At 45.6% G+C, this 21,193-nt stretch overlaps 1 pseudogene, besides 3 other annotated features; it reads left to right on the top strand.

The window, feature by feature from the left end:
• Positions 6,922 to 7,464: an enhancer, noted in NCBI's record as "NANOG hESC enhancer chr11:129907707-129908249 (GRCh37/hg19 assembly coordinates)". NCBI's record gives its function as "activates a minimal SCP1, AML or CMV promoter by ChIP-STARR-seq in naive H9 embryonic stem cells {active_cell/tissue: H9 hESC(naive)}" and the evidence as "EXISTENCE:reporter gene assay evidence [ECO:0000049][PMID:30033119]".
• Positions 7,908 to 8,202: an enhancer, noted in NCBI's record as "tiled region #13105; HepG2 Activating non-DNase unmatched - State 4:PromP". NCBI's record gives its function as "activates a minimal TATA promoter and a strong SV40 promoter by Sharpr-MPRA in HepG2 cells {active_cell/tissue: HepG2}" and the evidence as "EXISTENCE:reporter gene assay evidence [ECO:0000049][PMID:27701403]".
• Positions 7,926 to 8,126: a silencer, noted in NCBI's record as "peak1511 fragment used in MPRA reporter construct". NCBI's record gives its function as "represses an SCP1 promoter by STARR-seq MPRAs in K562 erythroleukemia cells {active_cell/tissue: K562}" and the evidence as "EXISTENCE:reporter gene assay evidence [ECO:0000049][PMID:32103011]".
• On the top strand, positions 12,015 to 12,408 carry ELOBP2 (elongin B pseudogene 2; annotated as a pseudogene).

Genomic DNA, 21,193 nt, shown 5'->3' with positions numbered 1-21,193 from the left:
AAAAATTAGCCAGGCATGGTGGCTTGCGTCTGTAGTCCCAGCTAATTGGAAGGCTGAGGCAGGAGAATCACTTGAACCCCAGAAGCATAGGTTTCAGTGAGCCGAGATCGCACCACTGCACTCCTGCCTCCTGGGTGATAGAGTGAGACTCCATCTCTGGAAATAAATAAATAAATAAATAAATAAATAAATAAAATAATAACAATAAAAGGAAACTTTTTTCTAGAAATCTATGATGTGTATTTTCATGTCACCTCATTTGAGTTTCCTAAGAAGTCTAGGAAGCAGGTATTATTATTAATCCCACCTAACAGATGGAGAAACATCATTCAAGAAGTTGAGACTTCCTCTCCCGTCTCCCTCCTCTCCCTCCTCTCCCTCCTCTCCCTCCTCTCCCTCTCTTTCCACGGTCTCCCTCTGATGCAGAGCTGAAGCTGGACTGTCCTGCTGCCATCTCGGCTCACTGCAACCTCCCTGCCTGGTTCTCCTGCCTCAGCCTGCAGAGTGCCTGCGATTGCAGGCGTGCGCCGCCACGCCTGACGGGTTTTCGTATTTTTTTGGTGGAGACGGGGTTTCGCCGTGTTGGCCGGGCTGGTCTCCAGCTCCTGACCGCAAGTGATCTGCCTGCCTCGGCCTCCCGAGGTGCCAGGATTGCAGACGGAGTCTCGCTCACTCAGTGCTCAATGTTGCCCAGGCTGGAGTGCAGTGGCGTGATCTCGGCTCGCTACAACCTCCACCTCCCAGCCGCCTGCCTTGGCCTCCCAAAGTGCCGAGACTGCAGCCTCTGCCCGGCCGCCACCCCGTCTGGGAAGTGAAGAGCGTCTCTGCCTGGCCGCCCATCGTCTGAGATGTGGGGAGCGCCTCTGCCCGGCCGCCCCTACTGGGAAGTGAGGAGCCCCTCTGCCCGGCCACCACCCCGTCTGGAAAGTGAGGAGTGTCTCTGCCCGGCCGCCCCATCTGAGAAGTGAGGAGCGCCTCTGCCTGGCAGCCACCCCATCCGGGAGGGAGGTGGGGGGTCAGCCCCCCGCCCGGCCAGCCGCCCCGTCCGGGAGGTGAGGGGCGCCTCTGCCCGGCCGCCCCTACTGGGAAGTGAGGAGCCCCTCTGCCCGGCCACCACCCCGTCTGGGAGGTGTACCCAACAGCTCATTGAGAACGGGCCATGATGACAATGGCGGTTTTGTGGAATAGAAAGGGGGGAAAGGTGGGGAGAAGATTGAGAAATCGGATGGTTGCCGTGTCTGTGTAGAAAGAGGTAGACATGGGAGACTTTTCATTTTGTGCTGTACTAAGAAAAATTCTTCTTCCTTGGGAAAAAAAAAAAAAAAAAAAGAAGTTGAGACTTGCCCAAGGCTGAATAGTTAACAAGAGGCTGAACCTGAAATCACAGCCTGGCTTTCACCCCTGGCTTTGCAGGCGGGAGATTTTGCACCCGGCTGATGCACTGCCTCTCACAGTGCCTTGGGCAGCTCCAGCCTGGGGTTTTCATTTTGCCCTAAGAACGGTCAGTGGAGAGTAAAGTCTGTTGGGCAAACTTCTCCCTTGCTGACCAACGAAAGGCAAGCATCAAGAAATCAGGAAGAGGGAAGAGAAACAGAGCAAATGAGGAAAACAGAAAGAGGAAATAACAAGCTGGAACGCTGGTGGCTCTGTGGTTAAAAAGAGAGGAAAATATAAATGGAGAGAAAATGGTCATTTTGGTCAAGTATAAAAGGTAGACAAAGGTTGCTGAAGATTGAGAAGAGAAACAGGTTAGACACCATTCTACCCCACATCTTTCAGTACCTTCGCTGGCAACCCCAGGGTTGGAGGGTGGGGCCGGGAGCAACTCTTCACTTCCCCTAGAGCAGAGTTTCCCAAAATATAGCAGATATCAAAGATAATTTTAGATATTACAATAACAGGCATTAGTTGAATGGCAGGGTACAAAAATGAAATATTTTGAAATTGTTTTAATCCTTCTCTCCCCAATTGACTGAACAGTCTGAATCAAATGGAGTAGCAAAAGAAATATTTCACTTTCTTTAACTACCACCTTCCACATACTCAATCTCTCTCTCATTGTAGGGAAGAAAGATTATTCCCTCTTTCCAAATATTTCCCATATTCTTGGTAAGCCATTAACTTGAGGAAAGGTAAGTTTCTCTTAACTACCTCTTGGGCAGAGCCCATAAATATCTGATCAGTTTTAGTTACCAGAAAAAGCCAGTGTCGTTTAAATTTTTAATTTCATATCCAAATTAGTGTTTGCCTGGTGCCCTTCTGCATCCCTCTAGGTTCCTTTCTCCTCCGGGGAAGGGAACACATGCCCCCCTCCACAAGAGATGCCCTGTGGTCCTCTCTGGGCCGCACGGCCCCTCCCTGGCTGCTGATGCCCGCTTGTCCAGGAATCCGAGTTCAGACTCTCATGGCAGTGTGAGGGTGAGTTTTTTGGTGAGCTGTGCAGTTCCCCGACATGGGAGGGTCACCAGGGCTTGACCACTTCAACTGTCCCTCAGCTCCCATTCCTAGGGGTCACGATTAGGGTCATACACATCCAAACTCTACGGGGTGCACACTGGGCTCCCCAGGTCCCCTCACACTCCACAGGCTGCGAGCCGCGCCTTTCGGACTATCCCATTCTCAGCAATTCTCCCAGGCCCCTCACTGAACCTCCACGTCATGCTACCTGCCACCCGACCCCAACCCCTATCCCCAGCATCTCCAGCTCCGCTTCCACGGACTCTGACTGGATGATGATGAAGCCGCAGGAGCAGGTGAGCCACCGTGATAAGCCCTGAGGAGGTGTCTGGCCTCAGTCTTTCAGCTCTGCGGAACAGCGGGAAATGCGAAAGCGCTTCTCTGTTCTCGACCGTGGACCCCGGTCTCCAGTGTGATTGCATCTAGTATGGCAAAGCCGCCTCTCTCACGCTTAGCCTCCTTTCTGTCCCTACTCAGAGAGAGAGCAAGCCTTCTTTAGGCAACAGCATCCATCCACAAACTAAGACCATTTGGCCTTCCTCGTGCTTATTTTCACTGTACACTGTACAGTCATGCGTTGCTGAACAACAGGATATGTCTGGGAAACGCATCATCAGGTGATTTCATCATTGTTCAAACATCCTAGAGTGCACTTACACAAACCCAGATGGCACAGCCTACTACACATCCAGGCTGTATGATACAGCCTATGGTTCCCAGGCTACCTTCCTGCGTGTATACCGCACAGTGCTGAATACTGCAGGCAATTGTAACACAATGGTAAGTATTTGTGTATCTAAACATAGAAAAGGTACAGTAAAAATGCCAAATGAAAGACTTTTTTTGGGGGCGGGCACGGTGGCTCACGCCTGTAATCCCAGCACTTTGGGAGGCCAAGACCGGCAGATCACGAGGTCAGGAGATCGAGACCATCCTGGCTAACACGGTGAAACCCCGTCTCTACTAAAAAACAAAAACAAAAACAAAAACAAAAAATTAGCCAGGAGTGGTTGCGGGCTCCTGTAGTCTCAGCTACTCGGGAGGCTGAGGCAGGAGAATGGCGTGAACCCGGGAGGCGGAGCTTGCAGTGAGCCGAGATCGCGCCACTGCACTCCAGCCTGGGCGACAGAGCGAGACTCCGTCTCAAAAAAAAAAAAAAAAAAAAAAGAAAGTTTTTTTTTATAAAGGAACACCTGTCTAGGCACTTTCCATGACTGGAGCTTACAGGACTGGAAGTTGGGTGAGTCAATGAGCGGGCAGTGAGGCGATGTGAAGGCCTGGGGCATTCTGTGCACTATACTTAGGCTACATTAAATTTATTTTAAAAATTTTATTTCTTCAATAATACATTAACTTTTAAATTTTTGAAAAATTTTTAAATTTTTATTTTTTATTTGAGACGGAGTCTTTCTCTGTAGTCCAGACTGGAGTGCAGTGGCACGATCTTGGCTCACTGCAACCTCTGCCTCCCAGGTTCAAGTGATTCTCCTGCCTCAGCCTTCCCAGCAGCTGGGATTACAGGCGACCGCTACCACACCCAGCTAATTGTTGTATTTGTAGTAGAGACGGGGTTTCAACATATTGGTCAGGTTGGTCTCGATCTCCCGACCTCAAGTGATCCGCCCGCCTCGGCCTCCCAAAGTGCTGGGATTACAGGCGTAAGCCACCGCGCTGGGCCAATTTTTTTTTTTGACAGGAAGTAGGATTTATTAATGAGCATTAGGAGGGGACAGCACAGTGGAATCTCTCATGAGCTCAGAGTCCGATACTTGCCCAGGGCGCCGCGAGTGGGGATGTATCGGACCCTACAGCCATCTGGGATGAGCCGCTTCTCAGCCACATGTCTTCAAATTCATCCGAATCGAAGGTGGCAAAGCCCAGTCTCCGACACCTGGGTCTTCTGGCGCCGGGAACCTGTCCTTGGCCCTGCACAGTCATGTGCTCCGTGTTCCGCGGTTTGGTGCGGACGGACTTGACAACCCGGCCCCTGCGAACCTGGCCCCGGCCGCGGGGGCTTTCCACAGGCACCTGCAGGCCTGTCTGGAGCCTGCAGCCCCAGCGCAGGACGAGACCTTGTATTGAGGATGACGCGGACGGGGTGGGGAAGCCCTGGGAGGTGAGAGCGTCCCGGCCACCACTTTGACCGTGCGCTTGACATAAATGTGCGCAGCTTCCCCGGCTGCAGAGTGGAGCGGCTCGCGTTCATCCGACACCAGGTAGGGATCTCACCATGTGGCCAGAGGGGGAAGGCTTTTGCCTTCTTCCGTCCCAGGTCAAAGATACACGTGTTGGCCTCGGGGACACTCCCCAGCCCCCAGCGGAACCGAGGCTTGGGGTGCAAATTCGTTCTTGCAGTTCCAGCAACACCGGGGGCGCAGCCCGTGGCAACGCCGAGGTCTCCCGGGGCGCAGAAAGGAAAGACCCCTCTATAATCTTACGTGACCACCATCGCATACGCGGCCTGTAGTTGACTGAAACGTTATCTGGCGCGTGACTGTAGTGACTTTCCATTTACCATAGACATCGGTGTTTTTTGTTTGTTTGTTTGTTTGTTTGTTTGTTTGTTTGTTTTTTGAAACGGAGTCTCGCTCTGTTGCCAGGCTGGAGTGCAGTGGTGCAATCTCAGCTCACTGCCACCTCTGCCTCCCGGGTTCCAGCGATTCTCCTGCCTCACCCTCCCGTGTAGCTGGGACTAGAGGCGCCCACCACCATGCCCGGCTACATTTTTGTATTTTTAGTAGAGACGGGGTTTCACCGTGTTAGCCAGGATGGTCTGGATCTCCTGACCTCGTGATCCGCCCGCCTCGGCCTCCCAAAGTGCTGGGATTACAGGCGTGAGCCACTGTGCCTGGCCTAAAATCTGTTTTTTATTTGTAAGGTTTTTTGTTTGTTTTTTGAGACAGGGCCTCACTCTGTCACCCAGCCTGGAGTACAGTGGCACGATCGTGGCTCACTGCAACCTCGACTTCCTGGGCTCAAGCAGTCCTCCCACCTCAGCCTCCCGCGGCAAATTTTTGCATTTTTTGCAGAGATGGGGGTCTCGCCATATTGCCCAGGCTGGTGTTGAGCTCCTGAGCTCAAGTGATCCACTTGCCTTGGTCTTCCAAAGTGCTAGGATTACAGGTGTGAACCACCAGCACCTGGCCTCATTTATAAGTTTTTTAAAAACCAAGTGGGTTTAAATAAAAACGTTAGGTTAACAATTGATTGTACAGGTGGTAAGTAGCCATTATGGAAAAAAAAAATAGTGAAAGTGGCATTTGAAAGACTTAAGTTTCTGAAACACTGCTTTGAGCCGGTGGCTCATGCCTGTAATCTCAGCACTTTGGGAGGCTGAGGCGGGTGGATCACAGGGTCAAGAGTTCAAGACCAGCCAGACCAACATGGTGAAACCCCCGTCTCTACTAAAAATACAAAAATTAGTTGGACATGGTGGTGCATGCCTGTAATCCCAGCTACTGGGGAGGCTGAAGCAGGAAAATGGCTTGAATCCAGGAGGCAGATGTTGCAGTGAGCCGAGATCATGTCACTGCACTCCAGCCTGGGTGACAAGCAAGACTCTGTCTCAAAAAAAAAAAAAAAAAAAAAAAAGAAAGAAAGAAAGAAAAGAAAAGAAATGAGTTAAATTGAGCAAAATCACATGTGGCATGCTTAAAGTAGTGCTTGTTTACCAATAAGCATGTACTAAATGTCAGCTATTTGCTACAATATTGAGAGCCTCCTATGTGCTGGTGGGTTTTTAAAAACAGCTTCATTGGGGTATAATTTCTTTCTTTTTCTTTTTATTTTCTTTTTCTTTTTTTTTGAGACAGAGCCTTGCTCTGTCGCTCAGGCTGGAGTGCAGTGGCGCCATCTTGGCTCACTGCAAGCTCTGCCTCACCTGTTCAAGCGATTCTCCTGCCTCAGCCTCCCAAGTAGCTGGGACTACAGCGCATGCCACCATGCCCAGCTAATTTTTGTATTTTTAGTAGAGCTGGGGTTTCACCATGTTGGTCGGGATGGTCTCAAACCCCTGACCTCAGGTGATCTGCCCGCCTCAGCCTTCCAAAGTGCTGGGATTACAGGTGTGAGCCACCGTGCCCAGCGAGGTATAATTTCTACACCAAATAATGTCACAATTTTAAGTGTACTATTCAATAATTTTTAGTCGATCTACGGTTGTGCACCCCTCACCACAATCCAATTTTAGAACATTTCCATCAGCCCAAAAAGATCTCTCATGCCCATTTGCTCTTCCTCTCCTGTTCCCCAGCCCCAGGCAAACCTAAGCGACTTTAGGTCTCCCTAGTTTTGCCTTTCCTCATGTAAATGGACTCATACAATATGTCATCTTTTTTGTCTGGCTTCTTTTACTTAGCATAATGTTTTTGCAGTTCAGTTATGAATAATGCTGCTATGAACATTCGCACACAAGTCTTTGTGTGGACATATGTTTTCATTCCTCTTGGGTAGACACCCAGGCATAGAATTGCTGGGTTGTATGGTAAATTTATGTTTAACTTTTTAAGAAACTGCCAAACTGTTTTCAAAAGTGGCTGCACCATTTTACGTTTCTACCAGCAAAGCATGAGGGTGCCAGGTGCTGTACATCTATTATTTTGAATACATGTGTGTGGGCATTTCATAACCACTGTTTTAGAGGTGAGAAACTTGTGGTTGCAAGAGGTTAACTAACTTGCAGGAGGTCATTCAGCCTGACAAAGCCAGTATTCAACCCTATCTAGTTCCAAATCCCATCCTTTTCTACTGTGGACTGGCTCTGTGCTGGGTGTTTGTGCTGATTAATAGGGCTGGGGGAGGGCGCTGCAGCAACTCTGCTTCCAGCTCACTCTGTGGAGCACCCGAGTGATTAGGTGAATAATGCAGCCTGTGACCAGGGGAAACGGAAGGAGGGCTAGTCTTCTTGGACCAGTTACCAAGCCCCGACAATATTTACATAATTCATTTATCTCTCTTTTTTTTTTCTTGAGACAGAATTTCATTCTTGTTGCCCAGGCTGGAGTGCAATGGTGCGATCTTGGCTCACTGCAACCTCTGCCTCCCCGGTTCAAGCGATTCGCCTGTCTCAGCCTCCCGAGTAGCTGGGATTACAGGCATGCGCCACCATGCCCAGCTAACTTTTTTTTTTTTTTGAGATGAAGTCTCGCTCTGTCACCCAGGCTGGAGTGTAGTGGTGCGATCTCGGCTCACTGCAACCTCTACCTCCCGGATTCAAGCAATTCTCTCTCTCAGCCTCCTGACGAGCTGGGATTACAGGCACCCACCACCACGCCCGGCTAATTTTTATATATTTTTTAGTAGAGTCAGGGTTTTTCCATGTTGGTCAGGCTGGTCTTGAACTCCTGACCTCAGGTGATCCGCCCACCTCAGCCTCCCAAAGTGCTGGGATTGCAGGCATGAACCACGGCACCCGGCCATCTCTTTATGTTTAGAATGAAACTTCAGTCCAGGTTAACCAGTGACACAGCAAAGGAACAAGCTGAGCACTATAAGGAGTCCCCATCACTGTGGACTTTGACAGCCTCATAATCACTTGGCTGGCCACAGAACAGGGAGAGGAGATTTTTGCTTTCCTCTGTCTCTGAGTCAGCAAGTAGTTAGTTACTGAAATCACATCCGCTAACAAGTCCAGGCAACTGCTGACTGCATTGTTCCTGTTGCCTTGTTTTGTATGGCTGGCCAAAACACAAACAGCAGGGTGTATAAATTGATTATATAAAGACATGGGAAATGACATAGTCAAATTGAAAATATCAAGCAAAAATTACTGCTTTCTATAATTTTTTTTTTTTTGGTGAGACGGAGATTTACTCTTGCTCAGGCTGGAGTGCAATGGTGCGATCTCGGCTCACCGCATCCTCCGCCTCCCAGGTTCAAGCGATTCTCCTGCCTCAGCCTCCTGAGTAGCTGGGATTACAGGCATGTGTCACCACACCTGGCTAATTTTGTATTTTTAGTAGAGACGGGGTTTCACTGTGTTGCCCAGGCTGATCTCGAACTCCTGACCTCAGGTAATCCGCCCGCCTCGGCCTCCCAAAGTGCTGGGATTACAGGCGTGAGCCACTGTCCCTGGCCGCTTTCTATAATCTTTATCTTCAGCAGGATTTTAATATAAGCCTATCTTCTCTTATCCATATCTTTCTATATCACTGTCTCCAGGGGGACTATGTTAGGGTTAACAAGCATGAAGTTGGCATTTTCATTCATCCATCCTTGACAGCAGGGGCTGTGTCTTGTTCAGCTTCGTATTCCCTGCAGTGCATAGCATGACGTTGTGTAACATCAACCTTCTTCCTATATCTTGCGTGGACTATTGTTATCCGTCTCCCAGTAGTCATCCTCCATCCATAGCTCCTCTATCCAGGCCATTTTCTACACTTCCTTTTGAATTATCTTTCTAATATGCATCTTTTATTCAAGAAGAAATGATGACATTTTATTATTTTATTTTTTATTTTTAGAGACAGGGTCTTGCTCTGTTGCCCAGGCTGGAAAGCAGTGGCGTGATCATAGTGCACTGCAGCCTAGACCTCCACGGCAAGAGCAATCCTCCTGCCTCACCCCCACTCCCACCCCCTGATAGCTGGGACTACAGGTGTGCTCCACCACACTCAGCTAATTTTTCAATTTTTCAATTTTTTTTTTTTTTTTTTTTTTTTGCAGAGACAGGGTGTCACTATGTTGCCCAGGGTGGTCTTAAACTCCTGGCTCAAGTAATCTTCTTGCCTCAGCCACCCAAAGCCCTGTGATTACAGGCATGAGCCACTGCACCTGGCCAATGACATTTTATTATTTGATTAGATTCATGGTGTTGCAGATATAACAAAGGTGATACCAAACATGTTCATGTATTTTAAAGATGCCTATTGGTCTACGGGATGGGCAAAATAAAAGAAAAAATATTTTAAGGCTGTCGATCGCTATGAAACAAAGTCCATATTCTTTACCAGATCATGAAAGATCATTATATAACCTGGCTTGCCGACCTACAGCTTTGTTTTTCACCATTCTCTTCCCCTTTCTGCTCTTTCTAGAAGGACTGCTATTCATTCTTCCTGTATTTTTCAGCATCTGCCTCAGGCCTGGACATAGAACAAGTGTTCAATAAATATTTCTTGTTAGATTGAGAGTTGCTTTGACCTGCTAACAGCTATATTAATTCCATAAGCCTTCAAAGGAGACTTCTAAGTCCTAGGACACTCTTCATAGCAGAGGAGGTGTGAGAATGGTGAATAAATGACTACCTATTTTTATTCTTCTTCTCAGAGTAGACTCACTGATTCACTCAACCTATGTCTTGAATGTTTTTAAAGGTCAAATCTTTATTTTGAAGTTGTACAAATGGGCCGGGCGCAGTGGCTCATGCCTGTAATCCCAGCACTTTGGGAGGCTGAGGTAGGTGGATCACCTGAGGTCAGGAGTTCGAGACCAGCCTGACCAACATGGAGAAACCCCATCTCTACTAAAAATACAAAATTAGCTGGACATGGTGGCACATGCCTGTAATCCCAGCTACTTGGGTGGCTGAGGCGGGAGAATTGCTTGAACCTAGGAGGCAGAGGTTGCAGTGAGCGGAGATCGCGCCATTGCACTCCAGCCTGGGCAACAAGAGTGAAACTCCATATAGACCGAAAAAAAAAAGGAAAAGAAATTGTACAAACTGCTGTTCCTCAATTAGAAGAAATTCATAAAGAAATAGCAACTGAGTGTTAATTTTCCTAACATTAGACAATTTAGTGAAATGCAATTTGAAAAGCTTTAATGGTCATTTAAACTTGAATTGCTAATTATTTTCTTAGAAGGACATAAAAATAAATGAAGGAAAGAAAACATAAATGAAAGCTCTCCGTAGACTATTGAAGGCTGCCTATTCTTTACAAATATCATGGAGGTCAACATTTAGCAGTTCCGTCAACACTATTCTGGGAATTGGATGAGTCAAGACTATTAAGAGAATCAAAAAATTTAGCCAATTTCAAATTCGCATATGCATTTGTAAATTTAATGATATAGTAATGATTTAACAATCATACTGTCCTATGCTATTATATGTATGCCAGCCATATAAGCAAGTTGACATAACAGAATTTTTATCAGACCCTTTAATTATATACATATAGACATTATTTAGAAATTAAACTAGGTACAAAAAACTAGGAAAAATATTTGTAGCTAATTTGACAAGAGTTAGTACAGTGTTACATAAAAAAGCTATTCAGATAAAACACTGTCTCCAACAGTGCTGATGGGCAAAAGGCATGAAAAGACAAAGCAGTTAATATGATTAACAGATAACATGGAAAAGTTATTCAATTTCAACTTCACCAGAAATGAGTATACCAGTTTTTGCTAAGCAAATTAGCCAAAGTTAAAGAAAGAACTAGTGACATCATCCAAAGCTTCTAAGTATGTGATAAAACAAGGAACTGATATATGTTTGGTGGCAATATAAAGTTTGTACAATCCTCCAGTGTGGCAGTAAGTATATGCAAGGATCTTAAAAATGTTCATGCTTTTTGGTAATTTAACTTCTGGAATCTATACTTAGGGAATGATCCTAAATGAGAAAAAAAATATACATTATGCAGAAAGACATTTGTCAAAATATTATTTATGGTTGCAAACCACCTGAATATTGAACAGTAGGAGAACACAAGATAAATTATTATATATTTATTTGAGGATATATTTATATAAATAGATATGATGTTTATTAAATATTTATTTGAGCAAATATGAATCAACATGGACAACTTCCATAATCATAATGCTGAGAAGGAAATAAAAGCAAGTTGTAGAATACTTTATACATTTCATGATACTAATTATATAAAGCTTGAGACATGCAAATATTACATATTACTTAGCAATACATACATATGTGGTAAAAGTATAAAGAGTAGGCTGGGCGTGGTGGCTCGCGCCTGTAATCCTAGCACTTTGGGAGGTGAGGCAGGCAGACTGCCTGAGTTTGGGAGTTCGAGACCAGCCTGGGCAACACGGTGAAACCCCGTCTCTACTAAAATACAAAATAAATTAGCTGGCGGGGCAGTGTGCGCCTCTGGTCCCAGCTGCTTGGGAGGCTGAGGCAGGAGAATTGCTTGAACCCAGGAGGCAGAAGTTGCAGTGAGCTGGGATCACGCCACTGCACTCCAACCTGGGCTGCAGAGTGAGACTCCGTCTCTACAAAAAAAAAAAAAAAAAAAAAAAAAACTATAAAGAAATGCATGGGCTGAATAATCACCAAATTTCAGAAAGTCGTTACATATGTTAGAGATGGAGGATGCTGCAAATGAGGATTACACAGAGGGTATCAGCTGCACTGATAATGTTTTATTTCTTAAGCTCTGTGGGATACATGGATGTTCATTCCATTATTCTTTTTATCTTTTAGTATGTCTTAAATCTTTCATGGTAACCTTACAATATTATGTAGCTATAAAATAGTTCCATAGAAAGCCAATACAATAACATGGAAAAACGAGTCTTCTCTGGGGGAGGCGGGGCCGCGCGGGGCATGCCGGGCGGCGCGCGGGCTGCAGGGAACGGGGCGGAGCGCGGCCGCGCCGGCGCAGCGAGGGGAGAGGCAGCAACCGCTATGGACGTGTTCCTCGTGATCCGGCGCCACAAGACCACCATCTTCACTGACGCCAAGGAGTCCAGCACGGTGTTCGAGCTGAAGCGCGTCGTGGAGGGAATCCTCAAGCGGCCGCCCGACGAGCAGCGGCTGTACAAGGACTACCAACTCTTGGATGATGGCAAGACACTGGGCGAGTGTGGCTTCACCAGCCAAACGGCACGGCCGCAGGCCCCAGCCACAGTGGGGCTGGCCTTCCGGGCACACGACGCCTTTGAGGCCCTGTGCATCGAGCCGTTCTCCAGCCCGCCCGAGCTGCTCGACGTGATGAAGCCCCAGGAGTCGGGAAGCAGTGCCAATGAACAAGCTGTGCAGTGAAGACCCCCGAGAGGCCCATTACCCCCAATAAAAGAGATTTGGGAGTCTGAAAAAAAAAAAACCATGGAAAAAGTTTGTACTATGACATTAAGTTAAACAAATTACCTATTCAAAATGATTACAACTACTTGAAAGCCATCCAAAAATCTTGCAAAGAAATATCCCCGAAAGTTACTGTTTTTCACATTGGATGGTGATGTTGTTACCTCCTTATTTCTTTAAAACATTTCCTCTATTTTCTCTTATGATTGACACTACAAATATAATTGAAAAACAATAAACCTATTTTAAAAATAAGCATGATATATTTATTACTAAGCCATTTGTACTATTATGTCACATTTGATTTCTAAATTAATGTTCTGCTTGGCTTTGAGTCTAGCATCATGTGTAAGATGTGAAAGCATGGAGAAGACTGGAGAGAGAGGAGGTTGGCAGGGACCTGAGTTTGTTGACAAAGGATGAAAGCAGGATGGGCTGGACGCAGTGGCTCATGCCTGTCATCCTAGCACTTTGGGAAGCTGAGGAGGGAGGATCACTTGAGCCCAGGAGTTTGAGACCAGCTTGGGCAATGTAATGGGACCCTGTCTCTACAAAAAATTAAAAAATTAGTCTGGCATGGTATTGTGTGCCTATAGGCCTAGCTACTCAGGAGGCTGAGGCAGGACAATTGCTTGGGTACAGGAGTTTGATGCCGCGGTGAGCTATGATTGCATCACTGCACTCCAGCCTGGGTGACACAGTGAGATCCTGTCTTAAAAAAAAGAAAAGAAAAGAAAGCAAGGTGGGCCAAGACTTGCTGTTACAGATTCCTGAAATGTTTGAGGAAGATTATTCTGATTGTTATGGGTAATCCAGGTTGGCTTCCAATGAGACTTGAAGTAGCAGCAAGGTTCCTTATATAAAAGTATGGAACATAAAATAAATTCACTTTGTTGAAAGAAAGAATAAATGAATGGAAGAATAAGTCAGAGCTAATATTAATTTGAGGCTCTTAATTCAAGCTTAGATACTGTTATTTCAATGATTTCCCATGGATCTTAGAATTTTAGAACTGACATAGATCTTTGAGAACATTTGTTTTAACTTCTTTGTTATAGTCAAACTAAATTCCAGAGAAGCTGAATAACACCACCAAGTAAATAAAAGAGGGGTATTTGGACTTTTCTTTCATCATATCATTAGCTTTCTTAAAAGAAAGCAGGTGGGCCGGGCTCAGTGGCTCACCCCTGTAATCTCAGCACTTTGGGAGGCCAAGGCGGGCAGATCCTTTGAGGTCAGGAGTTCGAGATCAGCCTGGCCATCATGGTGAAACCCCATCTCTACTAAAAATACAAAAATCAGCCAGGCGTGCTGGCAGGTGCCTTTAGTCCCATCTACTTAGGAGGCTGACCTGTAGTCCCAGCTACTTGGGAGGCTGAGGTAGGAGAATCACTTGAACCTGGGAGGCAGAGGTTGCAGTGAGCTGAGATTGCACCACTGCCCTCCAGCCTGGGCGACACAGTGAGACTTCACCAAAAAAAAAGAAAAAAAAGCAAGTGGGGGCCTAATCTTTTTACAAGAAAATGCACTACAAATTCCTTGGCCTGCCCTTTGCCACTTATAGAAAACCCCTGACAATCTGGCTTCAACTTGTCTTTCCACCTTATCTCCCACTAATCCTCCAGAAAATCATGGAATTTCTGGTATCCTCACCAGTTAGGCCCTCCACCCTTCTCTCTGCCTATCTAAAACAATTCATCTTTCAAGGTACAACTAGAATACCAAGAGTATAATCCAGAGGTAATGTCATGAGTGCCTGAATTTGACTGACGTGTGTGGAAATGAAGTAGAATGGAAAAAGCTTGTGCTTAAGAAAGGGGAGAACAAAGAAGCCATGGGGAATAATAATAATAATAATAACAGTATTACTAATAATGGCAGTGTTAACTACTAACATTAAATACATGCTTATGATATGCTAGGCCCTGTGTTAACCATTTTTATGTTCATTATCACACTTAATAATGTTCTCAGTAACTCTGAAACGGTATATCAGGATTGTGTTACGTGTAACAGAAAACCCTATTATAAGAAGTCAGGTTTTTTTTCTTCCATTCAATAAGGAGGCCAGTCTTGTGTGATCTTCATGAGAGGTCACCAAGAACCCAGGCTCATTCTGTCTTCTTTCTCCGCTATTCTTAGCATATGTCTTTCATTTTCAAGGTCATAATATAACTTTTCAAGACATTATGTCTGCCTTCCAGAGAGAAATGCAGTGGGTATCTCTTTTCAAGGACTTCTGTCAACATCTCTTTGATGAGAGCTATGTTACCTGGCCACTGCTAGTTGCAAGGGAGGCTGGGAGACCACCAAATGAAATTCCGTTAATAAAGGGGAAGGAGGGATGGATATTTAGGTAGGGAGCCTGCAGTGTTATCCTCAGTTTATAGATGAGGAAAATGAGGCACAAGAATGCTAAGAGCCGGGCGAGGTGGCTCACACCTATAATCCCAGCACTTTGGGAGGTGGAGGCGGGTGGATCACCTGAGGTCAGGAGTTCCAGACCAGCCTGACCAATATGGTAAAACTCTGTCTGTACTAAAAATACAAAAATTAGCCAGGTGTGATGGCATGTGACTGTAGTCCCAGCTACTAGGGAGGCTGAGACAGGAGAATTGCTTGAACCCAGGAGGCAGAGGTTGCAGTGAGCCGAGATCGCACCACTGCACTCCAGCCTGGGTGACAGAGTGAGACTCTGTCTCAAAAAAAAAAAAAAAAAAAAAAAAAAAAGAATGCTAAGCAACAGGCCAGGCATGGTGGCTCATGCCTATAATCCCAGCACTTTGGGAGGCCAAGGTGGGTGAATCACTTGAGGCCAGGAGTTCGAGACCAGCCTGGCCAACATGGCAAAACCCCATCTGTACTAAAAATACAAAAATTGGCTGGGTGTGGTGGCACACGCCTGTAATCCCAGATACTCTGGAGACTGAGGCAGGAGAATCGCTTGAACCTGGGAGGTGGAGGTTGCAGTAAGCTGATATCGTGCCACTGCATGGCTGATATCCAGCCTGGGTGACACAGTGAGACTGGGTCTCAAAAAAAAAGAATGCTAAGAAACAATGGGACAAGTAGATCTGGACAGCATGGCCCATGTCCCTAAGAGTTTGCATTATATGGCACAATTTTTATTTTTATTTTTTTTGAGATGGAGTCTCGCTCTGTCACCTAGACTGGAGTGCAGTGACACAATCTCGGCTCACTGCAACCTCCACCTCCCAGGTTCAAGTGATTCTCCTGTATATGGCACAATTTTTTAAATGGCTTGGTCCTACTCTCTACTTAAGGTGTGGTATAAACAATATCAGAACACATTTTATACTACTGTTTCCCTTCTTTGGTAGCTTCTCTTCCTTTCCCCTGCTGTCTTTTTCTTTCAGATCTCAGAGGGGAGGCTGCGAGTTTTGGTTAGAGCTGAAAGGAAAGAAACTAGTGTCAGTCTTTTGTTTCCCATTTGAAATAGTGGCTAACTCTAGGAAACAATAGACAGGATGGTTTCGTAAGACTTGGTAAATGATTAAGTGTGGAGCTTGATGTAGAGTCAAACAAAATATTAAGGTTTTGACCACAAAGTTGTTATATGGACAACGGAAGATACATATTAGTAAGAAAGGAGAATTGTTGGTTTACTTTTCTGTGTTAAGTTTCAGATGTTGGCAAAAATTCCTGATAGGTATCACTAAATCTCGTGTAAGTCAATCATAATGAGCAAGTGAGAAGAAAAATAAGGCAGACATACTTTTAAAAAAAACATGATGATCCTGTCCCTATTGGAATAATAACAGGTATTTGTTTTACTTATTTCGATACCTGTTTATAATAAGGCTTTGCATGCCTAAAGATGAAAGAAAAGGCCAGGCATGGTGGCTCACGCCTGTAATCCCAGCACTTTTGGGAGGCCGAGGTGGGTGGATCACGAAATCAGGAAATCAAGACCATCCTGGCTAACACGGTGAAACCCCGTCTCTACTAAAAATACAAAAAATTAGCCGGGTGTGGTGGCGGGCGTCTGTAGTTCCAGCTACTCGGGAGGCTGAGGCAGGAGAATGGCGTGAACCTGGGAGGCGGAGCTTGCAGTGAGCCAAGATCGCGCCACTGCACTCCAGCCTGGGCAACACAGCAAGACTCTTTATCAAAAAAAAAAAAAAAAAAAAAAAAAAAAAAGGCAGTATTTCACAGTTTTGAAGACAACAATGACATTTAAAAAAAAATGACCAGGCTGGGCGCGGTGGCTCACGCCTGTAATCCCAGCACTTTGGGAGGCCGAGGTGGGTGGATCACGAGGTCAGGAGATTGAGACCATCCTGGCTAACATGGTGAAACCCCGTCTCTACTAAAAATACAAAAAAATTAGCCAGGCATGGTGGCACGTGCTTGTAGTCCCAGCTACTTGGGAGGCTGAGGCAGGAGAATGGCGTGAACCTGGGAGGTGGAGGTTGCAGCGAGACAAGATTGTGCCACTGCACTCCAGCCTGGGCGACAGAGCAAGAGTCCGTCTCAAAAAAAAAAAAAAAAAAAAAAAAAAGGCCAGAAGCATCATCACTTTCTATCTATGTCTGCACTTGGGGGACAGATGGCATTTTATTAAATTCCCACAAATCAAGTCTATAAATTGGGTGGATGGAATAAACACAAAAAATTGGGAATTCAGAGAGCCTCCATGATGTATGACATTGGCAAAAATCAACTTCAGACCTCTAAATAGTGGTGAGCGCTGTAACTTTTCATCTCTTGGATACACTGTTTATTCGAAGTGTGGCAGGCCGGGCACAGTGGCTCAAGCCTATAATCTCAGCACTTTGGGAGGCCGAGGCGGGTGGATCACGAGATCAGGAGTTCAAGACCAGCCTGCTCTATATGGTAAAACCCCGTCTCTACTAAAAATATAAAAATTAGCAGGGCATGGTGACACATGCCTGTAGTCCCAGCTACTCGGGAGGCTGAGGCAGAAGAATCACTTGAACCTGGGAGGCAGAGATTGCAGTGAGCCGAGATCGCGCCACTGCACCCCAGCCTGGAAGACAGAGCGAAATTATTCCATCTCAAAAAAAAAAAAAAAAAAAAGTGTGGCGAAAGCCAATGCCAGTAAATGTTTAGTCTTTTCTTTGCTGAACGTTAGGGTGTATTGACAAATATGGTATTAGAATCTTGTTAATGGGTGAAATGCTCTGAACTCTGCATACCCTCTTTGGGTTTGTGATATATTTTTTGCTGTGACTTAAATTGTGGTCCATGGACCAGTAGCAACATCACCTTGGAATCTGTTACAAATGGAAAGTCTCAAACCCTATCCCAGAACTTCTGAATTACGATCTACATTTTAAACAGAATCCCCAGATGATTTGTATTCGAATTACAATTTGGGAAGCACTTATATAGCCAATTAAGGAAGTTTATGGCTGTAATCCCAGCACTTTAGGAGGCCAAGGAGGGAGGATTGCTTGAGGCCAGGAGTTACAGACCAACTTGGGCAACATAGCGAGACACCTCCCTAGCCTCCTCACCTACAAAAAAAAAAAAAATTTTTTTTTAAATGATCCAGGCATGGTGGCACATGTATCTAGTCCTAGCTACTTGGGAGGCTGAGGTGGGAGGACTGCTTGAGGCCAGGAGATCAAGGCTGTAGTGAGCTGTGATTGTGCCACTGCATTCCACCCTGGGCAACACAGCAAGGCCCTGTCCCTAAAAAATAAAAAGTTTTTAAAACTCCTATGTCATTAACATAAAAGTCCCTTGGTTTTCAGTAATTATAAGGCAATGATTGTTTCCTTTTTTCTTTTTTTGAAACTGGGTCTGGCTCTGTCGCTCAGGCTTGAGTGCAGTGGCAAAATCTCGGCTCATTGCAACCTCCGCCTCCTGGGCTCAAGACATCCCTCCACCTTAGCCTTCCAAGTGGCTGGGACTACAGGCACGTGCTATCACACCCGGCTAATTTTTGCATTTTTTATAGAGGTAGGGTTGCACCGTGTTGCCCAGGCTGGTCTCGAACTCCTGGGCTGAAGTGATTCTCCCTCCTTGGTCTCCCAAGGTGCTGGGATTACAGGCGTGAGCCACTGCACTGGCCAAGGCAATGATTTCTAGTTTTTGGTTTTTTTTTCTGAGATGGAGTCTCGCTCTGTCACCAGGCTGGAGTGCAGTGGCGTGATACAGGCTCACTGCAACCTCCGCCTCCCTGGTTCAAGCGATTCCCCTGCCTCAGCCTCCCGAGTAGCTGGGACTACAGGTGCACACTACCATGCCTGGCTAATTTTTGTATTTTTAGTAGAGACGGGGTTTCACCATGTTGGCCAGGATGGTCTTGATCTCCTGACTTCGCCCACCTCACCCTCCCAAAGTGCTAGGATTACAGGCGTGAGCCTGCAATTTCTAGTTTTTATGGGGTCTTGGACTCTTCAGGGAGAATGTGCTAGAAACTATTATCTCTCCTCAGAAGAAATGCACATATGAATTTGAAGACAGCACTTTGCATACATTTTAGAGGGATTCAATGTTAAAAACTCGGGTCTTATTTTATTCTCTAACCTGGGGGAACACTTTTAAACAAATCACATGTGGATGAACTGAACGAGTAGGTCATGAACACAATATGAATAGTTGAGATGTTCGTGTGCGTATGTGACTTTTGTGTGAAAAAACAAAATTTAAAAATATTTCTTCTAGACCGGGCGTGGTGGCTCACGCCTGTAATCCCAGTACTTTGGGAGGCTGAGGTGGGTGGATCACAAGGTCAGGAGTTCGAGACCAGCCTGACCAACATGGTGAAACCCCGTCTCTACTAAAAACACAAAAATTAGCCAGGTGTGGTGGCGCGTGCCTGTAATCCCAGCTACTCAGGAGGCTGAGGCAGGAGAATTGCTTGAACCCAGGAGACAGAGGTTGCAGTGAGCCAAGATCATGCAACTGCACTCTAGCTTGGATGGCAGAGCAAGACTACACCTCAAAAAAAAAAAAATTTCTTCTAGAAACCTAGTCACCAGCAATGATTGCATTTTTAGGTATCAGTGATTAATGCTTCTTCTTGGTGAGGAAATAAAATATGTAAACTTAAAAAAATTTGATTGTGTCTTGACTACAGTGAAAAGCAATTGGGTGCCATATTGAAATGTGAAGAGAAGACTTGAAAGGGAAGACACTCAGTTCTCAAGCTCTCTGTTGGTTTTTTTAAATATGATAAGAAAGAGCAGTTAAGAGAACATTTACATTCCATGACCACATGAGTAGAGTAAATAAAAAACACTGCTAAGGAGGAGAAAAGGTCCTAAGATTAAATCCATGCAGGACCAGTCTGTCTCTTGCTGTTTGCTGAGAGGGAACAACAAGCTCAAGCAACTTAAAATCTAAACATGAACTATCAGCCGGGCTCAGTGGTTCACACCTGTAATCCCAGCACTTTGGGAGGCAAAGGCAGGCAAATCACCTGAGGTGAGGAGTTTGAGACCAGCCTGGGCAACATGGTGAAACCCCATCTCTACTAAAAATACAAAAATTAGCTGGGCGTGGTGGTGGGTGCCTATAGTCCCAGCTACTCAGGAGGCTGAGGCAGGAGAATCACTTGAACCTGGGAGGCAGAGGTTGCAGTGAGCTGAGATCATGCCACTGCACTCCAGCCTGGGTGACAGAGTGAGACTCCGTCTCAAAACTAACAAACAAACAAAACCATGAAGTATTATAGTATGTATCAGGGTACAGTGGAGTTTCTCCTCATTTCTTGCTGTCTCTTTTAATGAAGTGTGGTTTTACTAACAGAGAAGGATTATTTTTCTAACCAATAGCACTTAGTTTCCTCTCAGTGTTTAAAACTTTGCATCCATGTCCCTCAAGTATGTCACTGTCGGCTGGGCACTGTGGCTCACACCTGTAATCCCAGCACTTTGGGGGGGGCGGAGGCAGGCGGATCACTTGAGGTCAGGAGTTTGAGACCAGCCTGGGCAACACGGTGAAACCCCGTCTCTACTAAAAATACAAAAATTAGCCGGACGTGGTGGTGGGCACCTGTAGTCCCAGCTACTCAGGAGACTGAGGCAGGAGAATTGCTTGAACCCAGGAGGCAGAGGTTGCAGTGAGCTGAGATTGCACCACCACACTCTAGCCTGGGTGACAGAGCAAGACTCCATCTCAACAACAACAAAGAATGTCACTGTCTTTTTAGTCTTCTCACAGGCTTTATTGCCATATGTGCTGGAAAAATCCATCCAAATTCTTTTCATCTGATTTGCATGAGCAATATCTATTTCTGAGGATTATTCATGGATTACCCATAAATATTCAGAACAATGTTCCTGTAGATCTTAATCTTTGCTATATTTGGCTTAGGGTTTTGTTTTCCAAAAAATTTTCCATTTCCTTTCTCCCATTCATCATAAGATTCTCCCTAGTTTACCATTTGGTCAGCCACGATATTTGCAATCTCACTTGGATCAAATGGGACCATGTATATGGAAGGCTCTGTGTGTTGTAGAACACTATACAGAAAGAAGAGTTTTACTCCAGATAGAAATATTTTGCCCTGTATTGCGTTTTTAAAATTAAGCTTTAAGTAAACAACAAAAAAGATGTCTGAATGTTTCATCAGTGAAAATTCTTAGAAAGTATTTTCTATCTGGCCGGGCGCTGTGGCTCAAGCCTATAATCCCAGCACTTTGGGAGGCCGAGGCGGGCGGGTCACAAGGTCAGGAGATCGAGACCATCCTGGCTAACACAGTGAAACCCCGTCTCTACTAAAAATACAAAAAAAAAAAAAAA

Source organism: Homo sapiens, chromosome 11 (genome assembly GCF_000001405.40).
Source record: "Homo sapiens chromosome 11, GRCh38.p14 Primary Assembly".
Classification (NCBI taxonomy): Eukaryota; Metazoa; Chordata; class Mammalia; order Primates; family Hominidae; genus Homo; species Homo sapiens.
Note: the sequence above shows the minus strand (reverse complement) of the source record. Positions and strands in the feature narration are given on the sequence as shown.